The sequence below is a fragment of the Homo sapiens genome, chromosome 1 (genome assembly GCF_000001405.40).
Source record: "Homo sapiens chromosome 1, GRCh38.p14 Primary Assembly".
Lineage (NCBI taxonomy): Eukaryota > Metazoa > Chordata > Mammalia > Primates > Hominidae > Homo > Homo sapiens.
The window spans coordinates 49,135,190-49,154,994 of NC_000001.11; the positions used below are offsets into that span (position 1 = coordinate 49,135,190).

The window sequence follows — 19,805 nt, forward strand, 5'->3', positions numbered from 1 at the left end:
GATGAAATATTTGTTGTCATTAAAATTATATTTTTGAAAACTATAATGATATATAAAATGTTTGTGGGTTATTGCTATATGAAAAAATTGTTTTAAAAAACAGCAAAAACCCAGAGTATTTTTATAATCTAAATTTTATAGTAAAAGATATATGTGCAAACATGCATATACACAATATATGCATGTACACTGCTGAGACCAGTTCAGTCTGGGAGACCCTGACCCAGCAGTGCTAGAGGAATTAAAGACACACACACAGAAATATAGAGGTGTGAAGTGGGAAATCAGGGGTCTCACAGCCTTCAGAGCTGAGAGCCCTGAACAGAGATTTACCCACATGTTTATTAACAGCAAACCAGTCATTAGCATTGTTTCTACAGATATTAAATTAACTAAAAGTATCACTTAATGGGAAATGAAGAGATGGGCTGAATTAAAGGAATAGGTTGGGCTAGTTAACTGCAGCAGGAGCATGTCCTTAAGGCACAGATCGCTCATGCTATTGTTTGTGGCTTAAGAATGCCTTTAAGTGGTTTTCCGCCCTGGGCGGCCCAGTGTTCCTTGCCCTCATTCCTGTAAACCCACAACCTTCCAGCTTGGGCGTTAGGGACATTATGAACATGTTACAGTGCTGCAGAGATTTTGTTTATGGCCAGTTTTGGTGCCAGTTTACGGCCAGATTTTGGGAGGCCTGCTCCCAACAGTACACAAAATGAGTAAGTGTAATACATCATCATGTTAACAGTGATTGTAACTGAATTGTGAGACCACAGGTGATTTTGTTTTCTCCTGTAGGCTTTTCTATATTCTCTAAACTTTTTTCAGTCAATATATACTACTATAACCAGATAAATTAACAGTAATTGTGAAAAATATGGCATCCAAAACTGTAAAGAAATATGTTTATTGCAAGGCAATTAAAAACAAGATCCCAAGTTTAAACTTTCATATGCTGTCTCATTGAGCTGCACATGGAAAACACAACTACAACAACAGAAAATCTTCTGTGTTAAAAGTAAGAAAATCTTGTCTCACTGATAAACATAAATGTAGATAATTTGAAAAGGAACGTTTACTAGGTGCTGGTCATTTCACTGGCTTCAATTCATTTGGGACAATTATCCTGAAAACAAAGTCTTATTAGTCCCATTTTACTGACAAGGAATGTGTTCAAGAGATTAAGGAATTTGCCTAAAGCTGAATTCAAATATAGACCCTTCTGACCTTCAAGATGCACCTTGTCCACTACATGTTGCTGTTCCCATAGTTGACAGGCAACATATTAAATAATTATATTTCTAAATATTACCAGAGGCTATTTGAAATCTCTAAAATAAGGCATCAGGAAAAATGGTTCTGTAAAACTATTTTAGATTTCTTGCTGGAAAATTACAACTACAGGCTCTTACTAAGAAAATGGCACCAAATTACAAATTCTTTTCAATAAGCCAGTCTTTAATAGCTCTAAGCACTAGACTCTTTAATTTGAATTTGGCTGTTATGACAAATACAATAAATTAAGTTGTGAAATTAATCATTTTGTTTTTAATGAAAAAACATAAATACAGAAGCTTTGCTGTGTCTATACATATGGCTGGCAAGGATAATGGTTTATGTTGAAAAATACTACTCTGCAGGAATTCCCACTGCTGTTTATACTGTAATTCAATTTGTTCTATTTAGCTACAAAAATATGCTAGTCTTTCAGATAATCAGTCCACTGTTGAGGTTCACAGCAGGTTAAAACTGAAACCCTTTCCACTTAATAAAAATGAAATCTATGATCTAATTTTTGTTCCCCCATTAGTTCGTAACATAAGAAGCAGAGAATGCTTTATGAACTGGACCAATTCAATGAAATTGAATTTACAAATACTTACTGAGTAACTTGATATGTATCCAGCAGTCTGCCAGATGTTTTACATTTTTCATTTCATTTTTTCCTAATAAAGTTTCTATGCTATAGATCATAAAATTAAGGATCAGAGACATTACATAATCTTAACCAAGGTCACATAGCCAAGAAACAGCAGCAAAAGAATTTGAACCCTCATCTTCCTGAAACTAAATCCTATGCTATTAACATGACACAAAACCATTTCTGATGTTATCGTATAATAGAAGACTGATTGTATACGAAAATAAAATGATGGAGGTTTGTACAAGATGATGTTGATGTGGAAGTGGAAGATGCTGGTGTGGGAACACTAGGAAGAATCCTTACAGGGGATGACATTTAAATAGCTGGTGTAATCATTGGTTTCAGAAGGATTTTATTGTTACCCTCTTCTAAAGTAGAGACTGTAATCCTCATTTGCATAAGATGAATGATACTCAGGTTAATATGCATGATACTGATATTGATACTAATACTTATGATCTGCCAATAAATCAAGAACCCCAAACCTGGTTCTTTATTCTTAGGCCAGTGGAGTGGGTGGGGAGAGTCCTTATAGGCTACCGAGTAGTCAAATGACATAGTGAGTGAGTGGATGGATAATGTCATAATTGGGCATCTTCAAAACAATTGCTAATAAGAGAATAACACAGAATCTCAATACTTCAGAAATTACCTCTGTAACTTCTTTGCTAAGAGGTCATCCAACATCTTCTCAGACATTTAAATCAAGACCTACAAAACCATTTATGCTACTCTTGGACAAGCCGAAAATAATAATTACAATAAGGAAAAAATAGAGAATATGATCTAATTCCTCAGTTGAGGGAGGGGAGATTGAAGCTGCCTGAAAGAAATGACATTTGAGCAGAAGCTTAAACAAGGAAGATTTACATACACGAAGATAGGGAGCAGGCAGGGATTCTGGGCAAAATGAAGAATATATTTAAAGACATGAAAGAATGAAAGTGAAAAATTCTGGAACTGGGAAACAATCAAGTAGTTTGAGCTTAGCTTATATGGGAGAGTATGGGAGGAAGAAACTTGTACTAGTATACCAGAGCCAGACGTTAGAGAGCCTTGAATGCCAGGTGAGACTTTTATAAGTTGTCCCTGCCAGGTGAGTAAACAACGTCCAAAGAGAAAAATACTGCAAACAGAGCCTTTAAGGAGACGGTAGAGGAAAAAGAACCAAAGGAGGAACAGGTAGGGATAGACTTTGCAGAAGCTAATGGAGAAAAGTATGTCAAGAAATATGTAGTGGTCAATAGTACCACAACAATCCACTTAAAACATCGTTTCTTCTTCCTAAACTCCTCCCTTTTCTCTTTCCCTCCACTACCAAAATACTGAGTAATCCACATTTACTATTGCACTTCTTTGATGCCAATTTGTTCCTTAACCCACTGCTTTCTCCATCACATGGAGTCTGGCTTCTTTCTCCATCACATCACTGAAATGACTGAAAATGTCACCTGTAATTTTGGTTGTCAAAGGCAATGCTGTCCTCATCCTATTTGATCTTTCTGTGGCTCTGTTGGCCAAACTTATATCTCTGGTTCAAACCTCCTGCCACATTTCCAGACTCATATATCCAACTGCCACCTCAACATTTCCATGTGGATTCAAATAAACTTGGCCAAAAGGAATGGTTTCTCAAATATACCCAGGCAAGTTAGATCAGAGCAGATAGTATCCAGGGAGAAACTTGTTGTCAGCACTGGATTAGAGGAATCAGGAGTTCAGGCACTGTATTAGTCCATTCTCACATTGCTATAAAGAACTACCTGAGACTAGGTAATTTATGAAGAAAAGAGGTTGAACTGATTCACAGTTCTGCAGGCTGTACAGAACGAATGGCTGGGGAGGCCTCAGGAAACTTACAATGATGGCAAAAAAGGGGAAGCAAGCACCTTTCTTCACATGTCAGCAGTAGAGAGAGAGCAAAGGGGGAAGTGCTGCACACTTTTAAACAACCAGATCTCATGAGAACTCGCTATCCCAAGAACAGCAAGGGGCAAATCCACCCTCATGATCCAGTCACCTCCTACCAGGCCACTCCTCCAACACTTAAAATCATAACTCAACATGAGATTTGGGTGGAGACACAGAACCAAACCATATCAGGCATAGCCATATTTGTTGGCATGCAACTTACAGAAACACTTTTTAAGTGCAATAATTCAGGCAAACCTCACAATCACCTTGGAATCCAGGGGTCATTATTTCCATTTTATAGGTGAGCAAACTGAGGCTCAATGAGGTAGAGTGGCACCATTCATTTATTCATTCATCCATCTACCAATCCATTCATCCATTCTCTTACTATTTATGAGAGCTTGCTATGTGCTAGGCCCTATAACTTAGTCAAAGTTCCTCGGCCAGTCCTGGTAGAGTGGGAATTCAAACCCCAGGCTGCTCACCTTTAAGTCCAAGGATCATTTCCTTTCCATACAGTTGTATGGAGGCCATCCAATCAGGACCTTTTCAGATTTGCTTGTGGATAAATGACACATATTTATAACTGGACAGCAGTTACAGCACTGTATGTATAATAATTGGTACTGGATAAATGTGTCAAGTGAACAAATGGATGGATGAATATGAGGATAACAATAATACTGTTCGTCCTATCCCATAGGATTATTATGAGGGCCAAATGAGATTTTAGTGGAAAGGGTCTTGACAAGCGGCTATTTTAATATTCTTTTTTATTGTTTGTTGCCTCAAATCCTGTTTGGAAATAGCAATGATGCAACAATCTGGTTTGAATCCCCTTCTCTATGGAACAACAGCATTTGGTTATAGGTTATAACCTTGTCTGTTTTTGCTTACTGTCTCCTTCTCAAGATATAAACACCTATATTTTTCATATCCACATACTACCAGGTCCACAAAAAGGGGGCTCAAAATCTGTTTCTTGAATAAATTTATGATTTCCAGTTTTATAGATTAGGGAATCAAAGTTCAGAAGGCTAAATGAATAGCATAAAGTCACCTGGTAATTAAGTGGCAGAACTAAAATTTGTACTCAGGTCTTCTGACTCTAATACTTTTTACAATATACTTTTTTGACTGAGTGTTAGGCCTCACTAGCAATTTAGATAATAATAAAACAATAAAAGTTAGGTACAACTTGATCATTTATGAGGTACATTCCCATACATTTTCTAGCTGACTCTCAAAACAACACTGCAAACACAAATTATAGATAAGGAAATCTAGGCCTGAAGCCCTCAAGATATGTAAAATTGCCTAGGGGCAAAGAACTAACAAATTCAGAAGCCAGGCCCTTCTCCAGGTTCAACATCTCTGGCTTCTTCACCTTCATATTCACACCTTTCTTCCATCAGGCTGCCCTGCCCCAGGAAAACAACCCAATCTTTTTAAGACAGTGTATTCACAACTGTACTCATTGTGCCAGGACAGGCCAGCACAGAAGAATATGGCCTTTCAACTTGCACAGATTTCCAGAAGAAGATATTTTGTCATCTAAAAATGCTGCCAAGGTTCCAGGTACATGATTGGTGAGGAACCAGGCCAGTTGACAAAATATTTGACAAAATTCCAATTGCTGGTGATTCTCAAGTTACAGGAGATAAGGACTTCTTGGATGTGCCCATTGGCCTGCATGCAGTATAATTGAAATAGAATGTGCAGGTGCTGTCAGGGTAATATGACATGTATCCAGATCTTTTTCCTTTTCTTTTATTTTTAGGCTTAAAGTCTAGTCCTCTTTCTTTGGCAGTTTTTGGAGCCATGTGACTGGCACAACTCTGGCAAATACTATAAATGCAATGGGATTGTGATGAAGGGAAAATTGCCATCATGCAAAACTAGAATTAAATATCTGTACTCCTTCTTGGGGCTTTTAAAGGTGGGTGCCATTTCTTAGCATTAAGAAACTGCTTTAATTACTGAGATATAAAATCAAGAGGGAAACTCAGTTTTAATGGAATTTATATTTAAACACAACAGGAATGAGCAGGAACATTAATTGGTACTAAAAAAAGAAGATATTATTAATTTCACCCTACTTTGAGTTATATTCAGTGTAACAAACATTGCAAATACAAAGTAAATTGTATTTCTTAAGTGTAAATATCCTTAAATATAAATATTTTGAATTCAAATGAATTAGAGACTGAAAAGTAATATTTTATGCATTCATTCATTCATTTATTTATTTATTCAAAAAATATTTATTGACCATGGACTCTGGAACCAAAGTCTAGGTGTAAATCAGGTATCTGCCACTTAATACCCCTATTCTATTATTTTAAATCACTATCATTATTGCTAACACATGTCAGGCCCTATTCTAAAAACTAAATACTAAATGAGAATCTGAGTATGCTCTGGAGGACCCCAGAGGAGAAGACATGGTGCTTATCCTTGCAGAACTTGAGGTGACACCCTTGTAAATTGTCCCTTTATTAAATTATCCTCAAATTCCTGCCAAGACTCTGACATAAGACATAAGGATAGAATATATAAGAAAACTGAAGAGGCTAGATATAAGAAAACTGAAGAGGCTAGTGTGGCTAGAGTTTATGAGAAATAAGAAGGGAAAGAAAGATAAAGTTGGAGAGACAGGCAGAGATCAAATTATGCACAGCCTTATAGATTATGGTAACAAGTTTGAATGTTACTTTAAGTATAATAAGAAGTCACTGGAAATAGAGAAATAAGGAGTAGTATCTGCATCAGAATGTAACACGATGACTATGAAAACTGTGCAGCTTCTGATTATTTGAGGGCTATAGAACACTACAAAGACTAAATTTTCTGCTGGCTTTATAAAGTCAGAAAAGTTGATGTCTTAAAAAAGGGTTCCCCAACCTCTGGGTCATGGACCAGTACCTGTTTGTGCCTGGGCTGCTAGGAACTGAGCCACACAGCACGAGGTGGTGGGGGGGTGGGAGTGAGCATGACCCCCTGAGCTCCACCTCCTGTCAGATCAGCAGCAGCATCAGATTCTCATAGGAGTGAGAACCCTATTGTCAACTGTGCATGTGAGGGATCTAGGTTGCACGCTTCTTATTGAGAATCTAATGAATGCCTGATGATCTGAATTGGAACAGTTTAATCCTAAAACCATCTCCCCGCTCTCCCACCTCCTGTTTCTGGTCCATGGAAAAATTGTATTCCACAAAACCAGTCTCTGGTGCCAAAAAGGTTGGAGACTGCCATCTTGAAATATCCCACCTGTAAACATTTCCTGTCTCCCTCCCCCTCACTGTCCTCCTTCTCAAAAAAAAACTCAACATATAGAGAAGAATGGCAGGATTTGGACTAATGCATATTAGGCTTCCAATCCTGGCTCTGCCACTCACTAGCTGAGTGACTTTGGATAACTTATTACAAATCTTTGAGCCTTACTTTCTGCATATATAAAATGAAATAAGATTAATAACACCTGCCCTCATGAGAGTAGTAGGAGAATGACTTAAGTGGGAGCAAAGAAGCTAGCATAGCATTTGGCACATAAATGCTCAATAAATATCATTTTCTTTCCCTTCTTTTCTCCTATGTCTATGTCTATAATAGTGTTAGGGCCATGACATTTAGTATTAAATAATATCCCTGGACAGTAATCATAAAACTTTGTATTACAGATGCTAGTCCTATAATCTAAGGAATATCAAAATATCATTGAGAATAGAAACTTAAATTAATAATAAAAAGGCATAATAAATAATTATAATAACAAAAAGTTTTATAATTCATATATTATTTTCTATTCCTTTCTTCATTTTCTTCTCAAAATACCCTTGTACAATGGGCAAGTCAGATATTATTCCCATTTTATAGGTGAAGGAACAGACTTGGAGATATTCCAATACTTACATATGTTCACTCAATCTGCAAGGGATAGAAAAATAAACAGAATCTAGGTATTTTAATTCCTTTACAAGGATTAATTCCACTTCATTACTAACAGACTGGGAATATACATTAAACGGGAAATGTTGCTCCCCCTGAGACCTGCTGTTGCCCTCAGGACAAGCCATCAAAGTAGTCTGTGATACATGCCTACTCCCACCTCCCAATACTTTATCTATAGCCTTATCTCTCCCCATGTCCTATTCATTAATTTAAGGAGAAGCCATACTGAACTTGTTGCTTGTTTTTCCTGGAACACACCAAACTGTTAGTTCTGGGCACATACTGCTGCCTTTGCCCAGAATGGCCTTCCTGCTCCTGAACAGCTAGGTAACATCTCCTCATGAATATTTCAAGAGTTAACTCAAGGGTTGCTGCAGCTAGGAGGGTCTTCTTGATACCCCATGTAAAATGGCTACCTCATCTTCAGTGTCCCTAAGCACAGCCTTTTAACAAATAATTGTATCTTGCATTTGGTGTAATTCTGTCTATTCTGTCTATCTCTGCATCAGTTGCATTTGGTAAAAATGTGTCTTCTGCTTCTGGACTGTGAGTTCCGTGAGGGCAGGGAATGTGCCATGCTTTTAACATTCTTCTTGTCCAGACAGGGTCTGGCATGGAACAGGTGCTCAAGGAATACTTCATAATACAATGAATGAATTAAGTTCCCTAGGGTCCTTTAAGTTTGATCCAGAAGTCTTATACATAAATAGAAAACAGTAACTCACAGATCTCCTCAGGAAGGAGTCAGTCCAAACCATCTACTTACATTAAAGCATGGAGAACAAAGTGGAAAAACAAAAACAAAGATGTAGAAGTCAACAATGACTGAAATTACTGCTCTTTGAGGAACAGCCCTAACATATCATTTTCCCAGCAGTGACTCTCACCATTTTATCTCCATATGCCATTTTTCAATCCAGACTGAGCTGGTTCTCTAGTGTAAAATAGCCCCAATGCTATTGAGAATGGTTCTGTCAATGAAAAAGCAAGACCATTCACAGTGAAATGCATTTTACCAGGCCTATGCACATATTTCAACAGAGATTGTCTCATAAGTTCTCTGAACCTTGGTTTTCCTATCTGTAAGGTATGGATTATATCCTGTCTTAGCGCCTATACTAGCAAGGCTAATTCATGACATGAGGCATCTAGTGTAAAAATGCTCCAAGCACTGTTAACTTGCTCTATCCTAGAACCTGTGGAAAGAATATCAGAAAAAAAGTTTGACCAATGTGTTGCTGGCTGATGATGGCTATCAGTGGTCGCCAGGTACTATGTTAGAACTCTGCAAAAGACAGAAGAGATGGCCTGAGGGGCTATGTTGGAGGACTCTAGGGTGACTGAGTGAGCCCATCATTGAGGAAGCTTCATAAAGTGGGTAATATGTGGTTAGGATCAGGGGTTGCTCTTCTGTATTCCAGCACCGAACACAAAATAGACATTTCATAATTTTAAAAGGAAGGAAAGGAAATGGAGGGGAGGGGAGGGGAGGGGAGTCATGCTTAAAGGCCCAGCTCACTTCTGTGCAATCCTATTCAGTTTACCTAATCTACACACACACACACACACACACACACACACTCAAACACAAATACACATCTGCTGCTCCCTCAGACCTAAGCTGGGTTCTAGTGACCCTGATATGGATGAGACATAGTCCTTACTTCAAGGACTAAACTGAGACAGACCCAGAAATAGACAATGATAATTTGATGATAAATGCTGTGAAAGAGAAATTCAGGAGAAAGGGAGACAGACTGAGCAGGGATTGACTAACTCTACCTGCAGGGTCCTGGAAGACTTCCCAGAGAGGAAGACACGTAGTTAGGTTAGGCTCTGAAGGAAGAGTAAGAGTTTCCAGGCAGAGTGGCCAAGAGAGGATTCTAGGCTGAGGTCACATTGAAAGCAAAGGCAATGGGGTTGGTGGTGGTGGTAACACAATCAGACATTATTGGGAAGCCTAAGGGTGAGTGTCTAATGGCAGAACAGAAGATGTGGGAGAGAAAGTTGCTGGAGCTAAGGTAAGAAAGACAGGATGGGGTCAGTCCAGCCTTACCCCGGATCAGGCATAAAATGTGTTCTAGGAAAGGGAAACAATAGCAGCAAAAATGACCGGAATCCAGGATTTGACTAGAGGAACTATTTTTAGAAAATCATAGATTGAAAAAGTAAGGGAGGAAAGGATAAGATTTAAAATTTGAGACAAGCAACTTCTTATGGCTTTTTTTCCTTTTATTTGTCTAATCTCACATCATTCTCTACTCACCACTCTTGCCACCTAACCCTATCCCATGGCTCTGCTACATATATTAAAGATAATTAATAAGACTGCCTGGTTTTGTATCCCACCTCTATCATTTATTAGTTTGTTGAACTTGAAAAGTTTCCCAACATTTCTTACCCTCAGTTTTTAGAGCCACCAATGAGTATCCATTGTATGGAATGCTATGTGCTTTAATAATTTCTATTGATCATTTTGTATGTGTCAGGTCCCATTCCAAGTATTTTTGTGTATTATTTCATTTATTTCCAGACAATTGTTTTAATGTAGGTAGTATTTGTGTCCCTATTTTATAGATGAAGAAAGCAAAACACAGTTTGAGAATTTGGTCTCAGGTAACAAAGCTATAGGTAGAAGACAGGGTTGGAATCCAGGCATTTTGATGAAAAAGCCTGTGTTTCCAACCACAGTGAGTAAGAACCTCGACTTCACGTGCCTAAGGTTCTTCAAAAAACTAAAAATAGAGCTATCATAAGATCCAGCAATCCCACTGCTGGGTATATACCCAAAACAAAGGAAATAAGTGTATCAAAGAGATACCTGCACTCTCATGTTTGCTGCAGCACTGTTCACAATAGCCAAGATTTGGAAGCAACCTAAATGTTCATCAATACATGAATGGATCAAGAAAATGTGGTGCTTATACATAATGGAGTACTGTTCAGCAATAAAAAAGAATGAGATCTTGTCATTTGCAACGACATGGATGGAATTCGAGGCCATTACCTTAAGTGAAATAAGTCAGGCATAGAAAGACAAGCATCACATATACTCACTTATTTGTGGGATCTAAAAATCCAAACAATTGAACTCATGGAGATAGAGTTATCAGAAGATGGGAAGAGTAGTGGGGGTTGGGGGACTGGTTAGGGAGGAAGTAGGGACAGTCAATGGGTACAAAAAACAAATTGAATAAGACCTAGTACTGGATAATGCAACAAGGTGACTATAGTCAATAATAATTTAATTGTACATTTAAAAATAACCAAAAGATTATAACTGTATTGTTTGTAACACCAAGGATAAATGCTTGAGGGGATGGATACCCAATTTCCCATGATGTGGTTATTATGCATTGCATGCTTGTACCAAAATATCTCATATACCCCATAAATATATATACCTACTAGATATCTACAAAAATTAAAAATAAAAAAATTAAAACCATAAAAAATAAAAAGGTATCTAGCATTGTGGGGGATCACAGAATCCATGTGTCTGTGTGGTGTGATGAAACACAGAACTCTAATGAATGAGTGAGGAAATGAATGAAAAAATGTTGGTTGAAACGGAAAACACCTAGCTGAGAGAAAAACTCTTCTTCCCCAGGTAGCTAGCCAGGAGAATGAAGAGTTGGTAGCTATAAAGTGGGATGGTGGTGGTGACTGTCTCATTTCATCAGATATACTTGTCATACATGCACCATTGTCCTGAGCCCATGAATAAAACACTGAGAAGTGCCCCAGACACCCTCCAAGGAGCATGATGGGGCCTCAGGGCCCACACCAGGCTCCCTGTGTAGCCCTATGATTGGGCTTCAGAAAGTACCTGTTGCCATTCTTCTGCCTCATCCATCATCATTACAGCCAACCCAAACATCTGATTATGAAGGCACAGCCTGGTAGCAGTGAGCAGCCAGGGAGCACAATGCCTCCAAGCCAGAAGTAAAAGGACTGGGCATGGAGGAAATCATAATTCATCAGCTTCAGAAAACTCAGAATGCTGAAGGCAGCACAAAGCTAATGCTTCTGACCTTATAGAGAAGCAGAAAAGCCAAGGGAGCAGGCTCAGTGAGGGAGGCGACACAGGAGGTGGAGCAGGAGATAGGTTTTTCTGTCCACAGATGTCTGCAAGGTGGTGGGGTGGGGGAGGAGACATCACAGAAATATCTGCTAGTCTTAATCATTCTGCAGAATGACATCTGAAAATCCATGCCCTGGAGACTCTGGGGTAGGACACAATTGCCTGAACTGTCAGACAGTTTAAATGACTGTCCCGAAATCATACAAATAGAAATAGAAAGGCAGATTTAAACCCAGAGCTCTGTGACTCCAAAGTCTATGCTCTTTCTCTTCTACCACACTGCCCCATGATTACACAGGAGTGTATTCTAAGATGTGTGTGCCCAATTTCACACCACTGCTGCATGTCAGCTTGAGAGAGAGAGAGAACAAGCTAGCAAGTTGCCACTAGCTAGATCTTATCTACTCCAAATTTCCTATTCTCATCCCCGTTTTATACTGATCCAGGCAGAAGCAGTAATGTGACCAAGGTCACACAGTAGCTAGTATAAAGGTCTCTGAATTTCCACATACCTCGTAAGAGGAGAAAAGTTGCCACCTCCAGGTTTCCAGTGAAAACTATACTTTCCAGGCCAGCTAACAGTTTGAAGGTCATTTACCAAGATGCTTCACACGCATGCTTGTTTACTTAAAAAAAGGAAAGAAGCCTAATTATAGCCCACTGAGAAATAAGATGTTGATGTATAAATGAAATTATGAAAAAAACATCTAATGGCATGCTTGGGAAGAGCCTATAGGCTTGAAGGATGGATAGTGCTTCAAGCAGGGAAGGAGAGGGGGGGTGACAAAGCCCTGTGGCCAGGTCTTAGGCTGGGGGAGAGGAGTCTCAAGTCATGCAAGTTGCTTCCAGTATCTCCCTATGCACTATCCTGTCTGTGTCCAAAGCAGGGATCTTTCTGCATCCTCAGAGGGTACCTGCAAACCAAAAGGCAGCGAGATACAATGCAAAGAACTTGGGTAACAAAATCACATGGGCTTGGCTTTGCAACTTATCAACTGAGTGGCCATGGGTAAATCACCTCACTTCTCTGAGCCTTGATTTCTTCATATCATCAATGGAGATAATACTTTGTAGGACTATAGTACAATTAAAGGAAACATACATAAAGTATTTAGCATGTTCCTCGAATACATTAGGTATTAATAAACTTTATTACACTGATTAGTGTCGTTATTATTACTATCTATCCCTCATAATGTGAGGAGCATGTCACTGGGTTTCCAGTGGTTTCCATGGTAGTCTCCAGGATTTGGCTATTTTCTGTTAAAAGGACATGGCTTTTCTTTAAAAACAGTGGGAATTGCATGTTTCTCTGAAGTAAAAATGTTCAGCTCCCACTCAACACCCTACCTACCTATTGTGGGTATAATTCTGAGGGGGAGGTGGGAATTATTTCTTTGAAACTTATCACTGAGCCAGAACTGAAACTGCTGAGCCAGGCGCAGTAGTGCCTTCTGACTGTGGTAAGTGGGGACCCTCCCAGACTTTGGAGTGTCTTTTGAAAAATGTCTATGTCCTTCTTTAGTACCTGGGCTGGCTGTGCAGTCCAAGCAGGATGTCCTGAGCCCTGGTTCCTCTGGGTCCTGGTCACTAGACGTGCCTAACTTGAAATTTTCTCAGTCCTCTTCCAGTGCTGGAGATCAACCAGGACTAGCAGTGACAATTGGGCAGGGCATATCTCAGCCCTCCTTTCTCATTCTCAGGGTGTTCGCAATCTTTCTAGTTCCCCAGATGTAGAGACAATCAGATGCTCTGAGAAGGCCCAGAACTTATGGTTATGGGCTTGTCCCATGTCCCAGTTCCAGGATAAGATAGATGCCTGGGTAAGCGATCACTTCTGTGTATTTCCTTCATGGAATCATACAAGATTGGGCCACCAGAATGGTGCCAACATACTGAATTTGGGTGACTCTCATTTATCTTGGACACAGGAAGCGTCTAGAGCTCTGAGATACTGATAGTCCACCACTGACCTCTGGACTTGAGCTATGTATGGACCCAGGCATTGGCTCTTGCCCATCTATGTTCTAATCAAGGTGCTGTCTCCAGGTTTACAGCAACTGAAGATAGCATGGGTGGCAGCAGGCATCCTTAACCCTGTATCCTCTTCTGCTAAGTAGTTACCAGTCTCTTTACAGTGCTAAGATGTTCTCCAGAAGTAGCTGTCCCTATCATGAGATATCTATCTTCTTTGAAGTCTTTCAAAATTGTTACTCTGTATCTCCAATAAGCCTTTCTCATTGTCTCCAATCCAAGTGTGAATGTTGTGGTCTCTTGGGCCATTAATGAGGTGTGCCATTTGAGAACACACTTTCCTTGCACAAACAGAACAGTTTCTCTCTGTATCTGGGCTCCTTGCTTATTCTTCCTGCTGATGGTGGTATGTGAAAGGCAGTTAACATTGTGCAGTGAACTCTGACAGAGTACATTCTAGGAATGTAGGGACTACAACCTAAAGCTAGAATTCAAGATAAAACATTGTTGGAAGATGTGTTAATCTACGTTTATGCTATACAATTCCTAATGGTACATTTAACATAACCAGCAAATAAATTATTTATTCACATTTTTCTGTATACTTAAGATGAGCCCTGCATTTGTGTACATCATTAAAAACCAGTATTTGTAGCGGTACCATGAATGCTGAAGCATCACGAGTAATGATGTAACCAGTGTTAAGTAAATAGTATTAGGAAACTGCTGAGGCAAGAAGACCTATATTGTTTCATTACAAATATGCCCCAAAAAGCCATGCATTGTGAGTAATAACAGTAGTGCTAGCTTTTTCTGCATGTGGGAGATATAAAATTGTCTTCAGAAACTATGCATTTGACAACAAAGAATATGAAAAGATGGCTCCGGATACTTCACATGCACTCATTGAACAATAAACAAATACCTAAGTATCTTCTCTACACATTATTCTACATCTTCATCTAAATTCATGGACCTCACATGAGGTCTATAAATATAGACACATGAGGTCTATAAATTTTGTAATACAATTTTTAATCAAACTGTTTATATAGACATAGGCATCACAAAAAATCTTTGCCTGGAGCCCTGCACGCCTTAGGGGTGGCCTTGGTGAGATCAGTGTAAAACATGTCTAGCTAGTGACTTAACTATGGAATCTTGTCACCAGAGACAGGATAAAGGAAAATATCTGAGGACTGCTTGGTACATTGTCGTTCCTCCCTTACAACTGAAGGGTCACTACAAGTCGCACCTATGCACCTACAGGTATATCATAATCAGCCATTAAAAATAAAGTTTCAAGGCAATCTTTCACAATTTGTACACATTCTCACAATATAATATTACAAGTGAGCGGCAGAATTTTATATATATTCTAAAATTCTACTATGTAAATGGAAAATGCATAGAAAAAAAGACAAAGGAAATAGGATACGATATTGACTTGTCTTTAAGAGGAGAAATCTGAGGGGATTTTGCTGTTTCATGTGTACTTTTCACTACTTTCAAAATTTGCTACAATAAAATGTACTATTTTCACTTTTATTTTTCAGTTCACTGAATTTCTTTCAACATGCCTCTCTCACTACTCTGCACATGATGTTTCCTTTTGCCTATATACTCATTCTCCCCAACTACTTACTTTCATTTGGCTAAATCCTATTTATCTTTGAGATTCCATCAGCAACATCACTTCCTCCAGGCACCCTTCTCGGATCCCTCAAAGCTGCATTAAGTGTTCTTCCAATGAGCTTCCACGTTATCCTATAGATTCTTATCACTCTACATGTAACTGAAAGTTTGTTTGCCTCTTTCCTATCAGTTCTACACTCCAGTGATGTCCATTACTGTGCTTGGCAAATAATGAATACTGAGAAATATTTCTGAAATTAATAGATTAATGAAAATTAAAATACAATTTAAAACTCTCTTTAAAAATATATACATATAGGCCAGGCGCGGTGGCTCACGTCTGTAATCCCAGCACTTTGGGAGGCCGAGGAGGGTGGATCACGAAGTCAGGAGATCGAGACCATCCTGGCTAACACGGTGAAACCTCGTCTCTACTAAAAATACAAAAATATTAGCCGGGCGTGGCAGTGTATGCCTGTAGTCCCAGCTGCTGTGAAGGCTGAGGCAGGAGAATGGCATGAACCTGGGAGGCGAAGCTTGCAGTGAGCCGAGATCGTGCCACTGCACTCCAGCCTAGGTGACAGAGCAAGACTCCGTCTCAAAAAAAAAAAAAATATATATATATATATATGTATATGTATACACACACACATACACATAAACAAAACCTAGGAGATTCAGGGAAGTTTTTGTCACCATTATTTGTTTAAGTTTTCCAATGATAGTTTAAAAAATTTGTTAAGCATGATGATTAACTTTTCACAATAATGCAATAATGTGTGAGCTATGCCTCTCTCAAACCTTATTATGATGTTGGCCCATTACCCATCTGATGTGAAGAAAAAAACTGTCATTGCGTGCTTCAGTAAATAAAAAGAGAATTTGTGGAATTGTTGACAGTTACAAAAAAAAAAAAAAACCTGGTAATTCTTTGGGGCAGTGTTGAGCAAATAAGTTCCTAAGAACACTAATTCCATAAGATATTCTGGCGAAAAAAGACAGAGAGAGGGTCTATAATCAAATAACTTCAGGAAATACTGTATGCACTGGTCCCCTCTGAAGAATTACAACGTGTAGTAGCATATTTCAGTGTTGTAAAAAGTCCTGCTGTAAAGAATATGGTTAATTTATTTTTAATCCAGTACTTCTCAAACGTATTTAAATATGAATCCTTCCCCCTTTATGTAATACCTATTAACATCTATTTCCCAGAACATTTTTGGAAATGCTGGGTTTCAGAGATAAAGGCTTCCAGAGGAAGGAATTTTCTGGCTCACAGTGAAGGCAACAAATAGGAAAAATACTGGAAAGAGAGACAATAAGACTTAAAAAAAAAAACATAAAATGTAACATTTATTGACCACTTGCTATACAGCATATAGTATGTCAAGTATCTTACATATACTAGCTTAAGTTTTATAATAAATTTAAAAAGTAGAAACTATCATTCCCACTTAATGAAAAGTAAATTAAAATTCAAAGGGATTAAGTATGCTGTAGACAGCACCATGTCTGTCTGGGTTACTTCACACACTTCCTCTAACCACTATGCTATGAGCACTGAGCCACACAAACCCTCCTTTCCCTGGTGGAATAGGTGACTGAATGGAAGCACTCCCTTCCTGTATTTATTTTCCCTTCTCTTCCCTTCTTTTCTCCCTTTCCTTCCTTCTTCAAACATCCTGAGTGTTCACTCTGTCAGTCACGTGTGGAACCTGTGGTTTCAGAGATGAATAAGAAATGATCCCTATTCTAAAAAAGCATCCAGTCTCGCCCACCAAGTTAGTAATCTTCCAAGCCCTGGGATAGACAAACAGGTGGATAAGAGGAAAGATGACCCTGTGAGTTGCATCAAAAGCATCTGAAAGGCTGCTGAGGTAAAGATGACAACCCCACCTAGGGATTCTTCCCATACATTTCTGGGGCTGGAGCCTTAGAAGAGGTATTTAGCAGATGGGGTGAAAATGTTCATGCACAAATCACCAAATTAATGCAGTTTTCATTAACTAGATTTATTAGTGAACTTGGGGCAAGCATACCTGTCCCCTATTTCAAATATTCTCTGGAGTTCTGGGAGATGAACAATATGCCAATCTGGCCATATGCCAAGAAGCTACCTGGGAAAACAAGTGTATTAATAAAATTTCACCCACACAGGGTTTAAAAAATAAATATAATTCTGGGCAGAAATAAATACGGTCTTTACTTTTAAACTAATATATTAGTTTAAGGTAAAGGGAGCTTTTATCTTCCGAGATCATACTGCCAGTCACACTGCTCTGAGTGTCTGCCTCACAATCAGAATGGAGAGGTCCATTGACAGGAATGTTTTAAGAAGGAAACATGGAAGGGGAGAGGTGGGAAGGAAGGGAGGGAGGAGACTTGGATGAGACAATAGAGTCATAGGAGATTAAGGGACGTTTGGGGCTTTGATACCACCTGGATTCTCCACTACAAGGTTTAGGTTTAGAAAGATATCCACCACTTCCTCACAGATGCCTCATGATGCCCTAATCTCAAAAAGAATTTTGGACTGACATAGGGAGGCATTTTTGATCTCCCATGTGGATAAGGAGTTTCAGGCCTGCCATTCTTCTTGCTGAAGACTGTCACTGAGGGGAGGAGAGGTGAAGGTAAGGTTCTGCTTGAAATTCAACTAGTGCTGCATAAAGAATGATACACATGAAAAATTGATCATGACACGGCACTCAGGCAAATATTATTAATAATACAATATTTAAACACACAATATATCCCTCTTAATGATGAAAAGAAATCCAAGGTCAAAGCAAATAAAAGTCATTCCAATGTTAACAAAAGGAAAAGAGAGAATTTCTCTATGCACATCACTCCACAATAGCTTCCTTTATACCACCATCTAATAGAGTAAGTAGCCCTTCCATCAATCAAGAGAGGTAGCAAAACCCTTCTCAACAGGAATATTTCAAACCACTAGGCAGTTCTAGAAAAGTACAGAATTCAGGAGTTTTAGCCCTTCTTTTCTCATCTTCTCTAATGTAAAATGAAGGTAATAATACCTAAACTCTTTCTGGGCCTTGTTTTCCCATCTGCAAAATGAGGAGGCCACTAGATAATCTCCAAGTTAACAAATTGCAATTTTGAATATTTATAATTATGTAGATACATTTGGAAGCTTCTGATAGAGTTGGATACAAGCTCAGTTCCTTCACATACTTGGAGTAGGACCTTGGTCAAGTTACTTAACCCCTCTAAACCCCAGATTCATAAATGATAAAATGAGACAATAACATTCCTACCTCAGAGATTTATTTTGAGTACTAGGTAATTCAAGATAATACTGCTAGCGAGAGAAGACATAAAAATCAAGCCCAGGTCTGTTTAACTTCAAAGACTATGCTCTTTCCACTACAATAGTGGAGAATACCAACAAGAAAAAATGTCTACAAAGCCAAGCAGAGTGCAGCAGAAGCACAGGCTTTCTGCTGTAGAATGCCAGAGGCAAGAACAATTAACGTTGTCTATGGGTGAAGGCAGCAAGTTGTTACATCAGGAAAAGAGCTCTGGAGTCAGAGGCCAGTGATTCAAAACATTTAACCTTTCTTGGTCTCAGTGTCTTCTCCTGGAAAACAGGGAAAGTAACAGTACCTGCTTTACAGAGTCATTAAGAGGAAAGATGTAAAGGTTATGTATATAAGCATTCAGCACAGTACTCAGGACATAATAAAATGCAATAAATAATAGCTATTGCTATTATTATAGTAGGTTCTTTAAATTACATGAAATTAAATAATATTATTATAAGTGATCAAAACTTCTAGACTGACCTCAACACTGCACAAAATACTGGTAACCCTAAGAGAATCGTTAAGTCTAGAATAGCATTGTCTATTGGCTTTCCAACTTCTGTATCACAAAAGAAAAAGTCTAGAAAACACAAACTGTGGCCTTCAACCAGGCTTTATTCTCAGAGGTATTATTTACATTTCAGATTTATTATTGTCTCCCATGGTGCTGACATGAAATAACCTTCCATTCTCTTCCATGTTAAAAGAGTACAGTGTTTCTTGGCTCCATAAATAATTCAGGGCTATATTAATATTTTAAGAAGAATAAGCAATATATTTGAATCCTAGAAAAACCATGAGGATTGAAATTAGTTATTTGTAGCTGAAAACTTAATTGCTCCAACATATTGATTGTTTTTTCTTCCAGGTTTTATTGCCCACACAATGAAGAGTGCCTACTCTCATTCTAAATGCTGCATACTTAATTATATCTGTTAGATTTTATTTTTATGAAAACTCAAAAGCATCCAACCATGAACTTAAATGCTTTTGCCCATCT

General features: G+C 38.5%; 1 protein-coding gene and 1 pseudogene across 10 annotated transcripts in view; one reads left to right on the forward strand and one right to left on the reverse strand.

Moving 5' to 3' along the window:
* The window catches only part of AGBL4 (AGBL carboxypeptidase 4), a 1,501,444-nt gene that overhangs the window by 612,679 nt on the left and 868,960 nt on the right, over positions 1-19,805 (reverse strand). The gene's annotated exons all lie outside the window — the stretch shown is intronic.
* LOC124904851 (uncharacterized) lies at positions 16,201-16,314 on the forward strand (annotated as a pseudogene).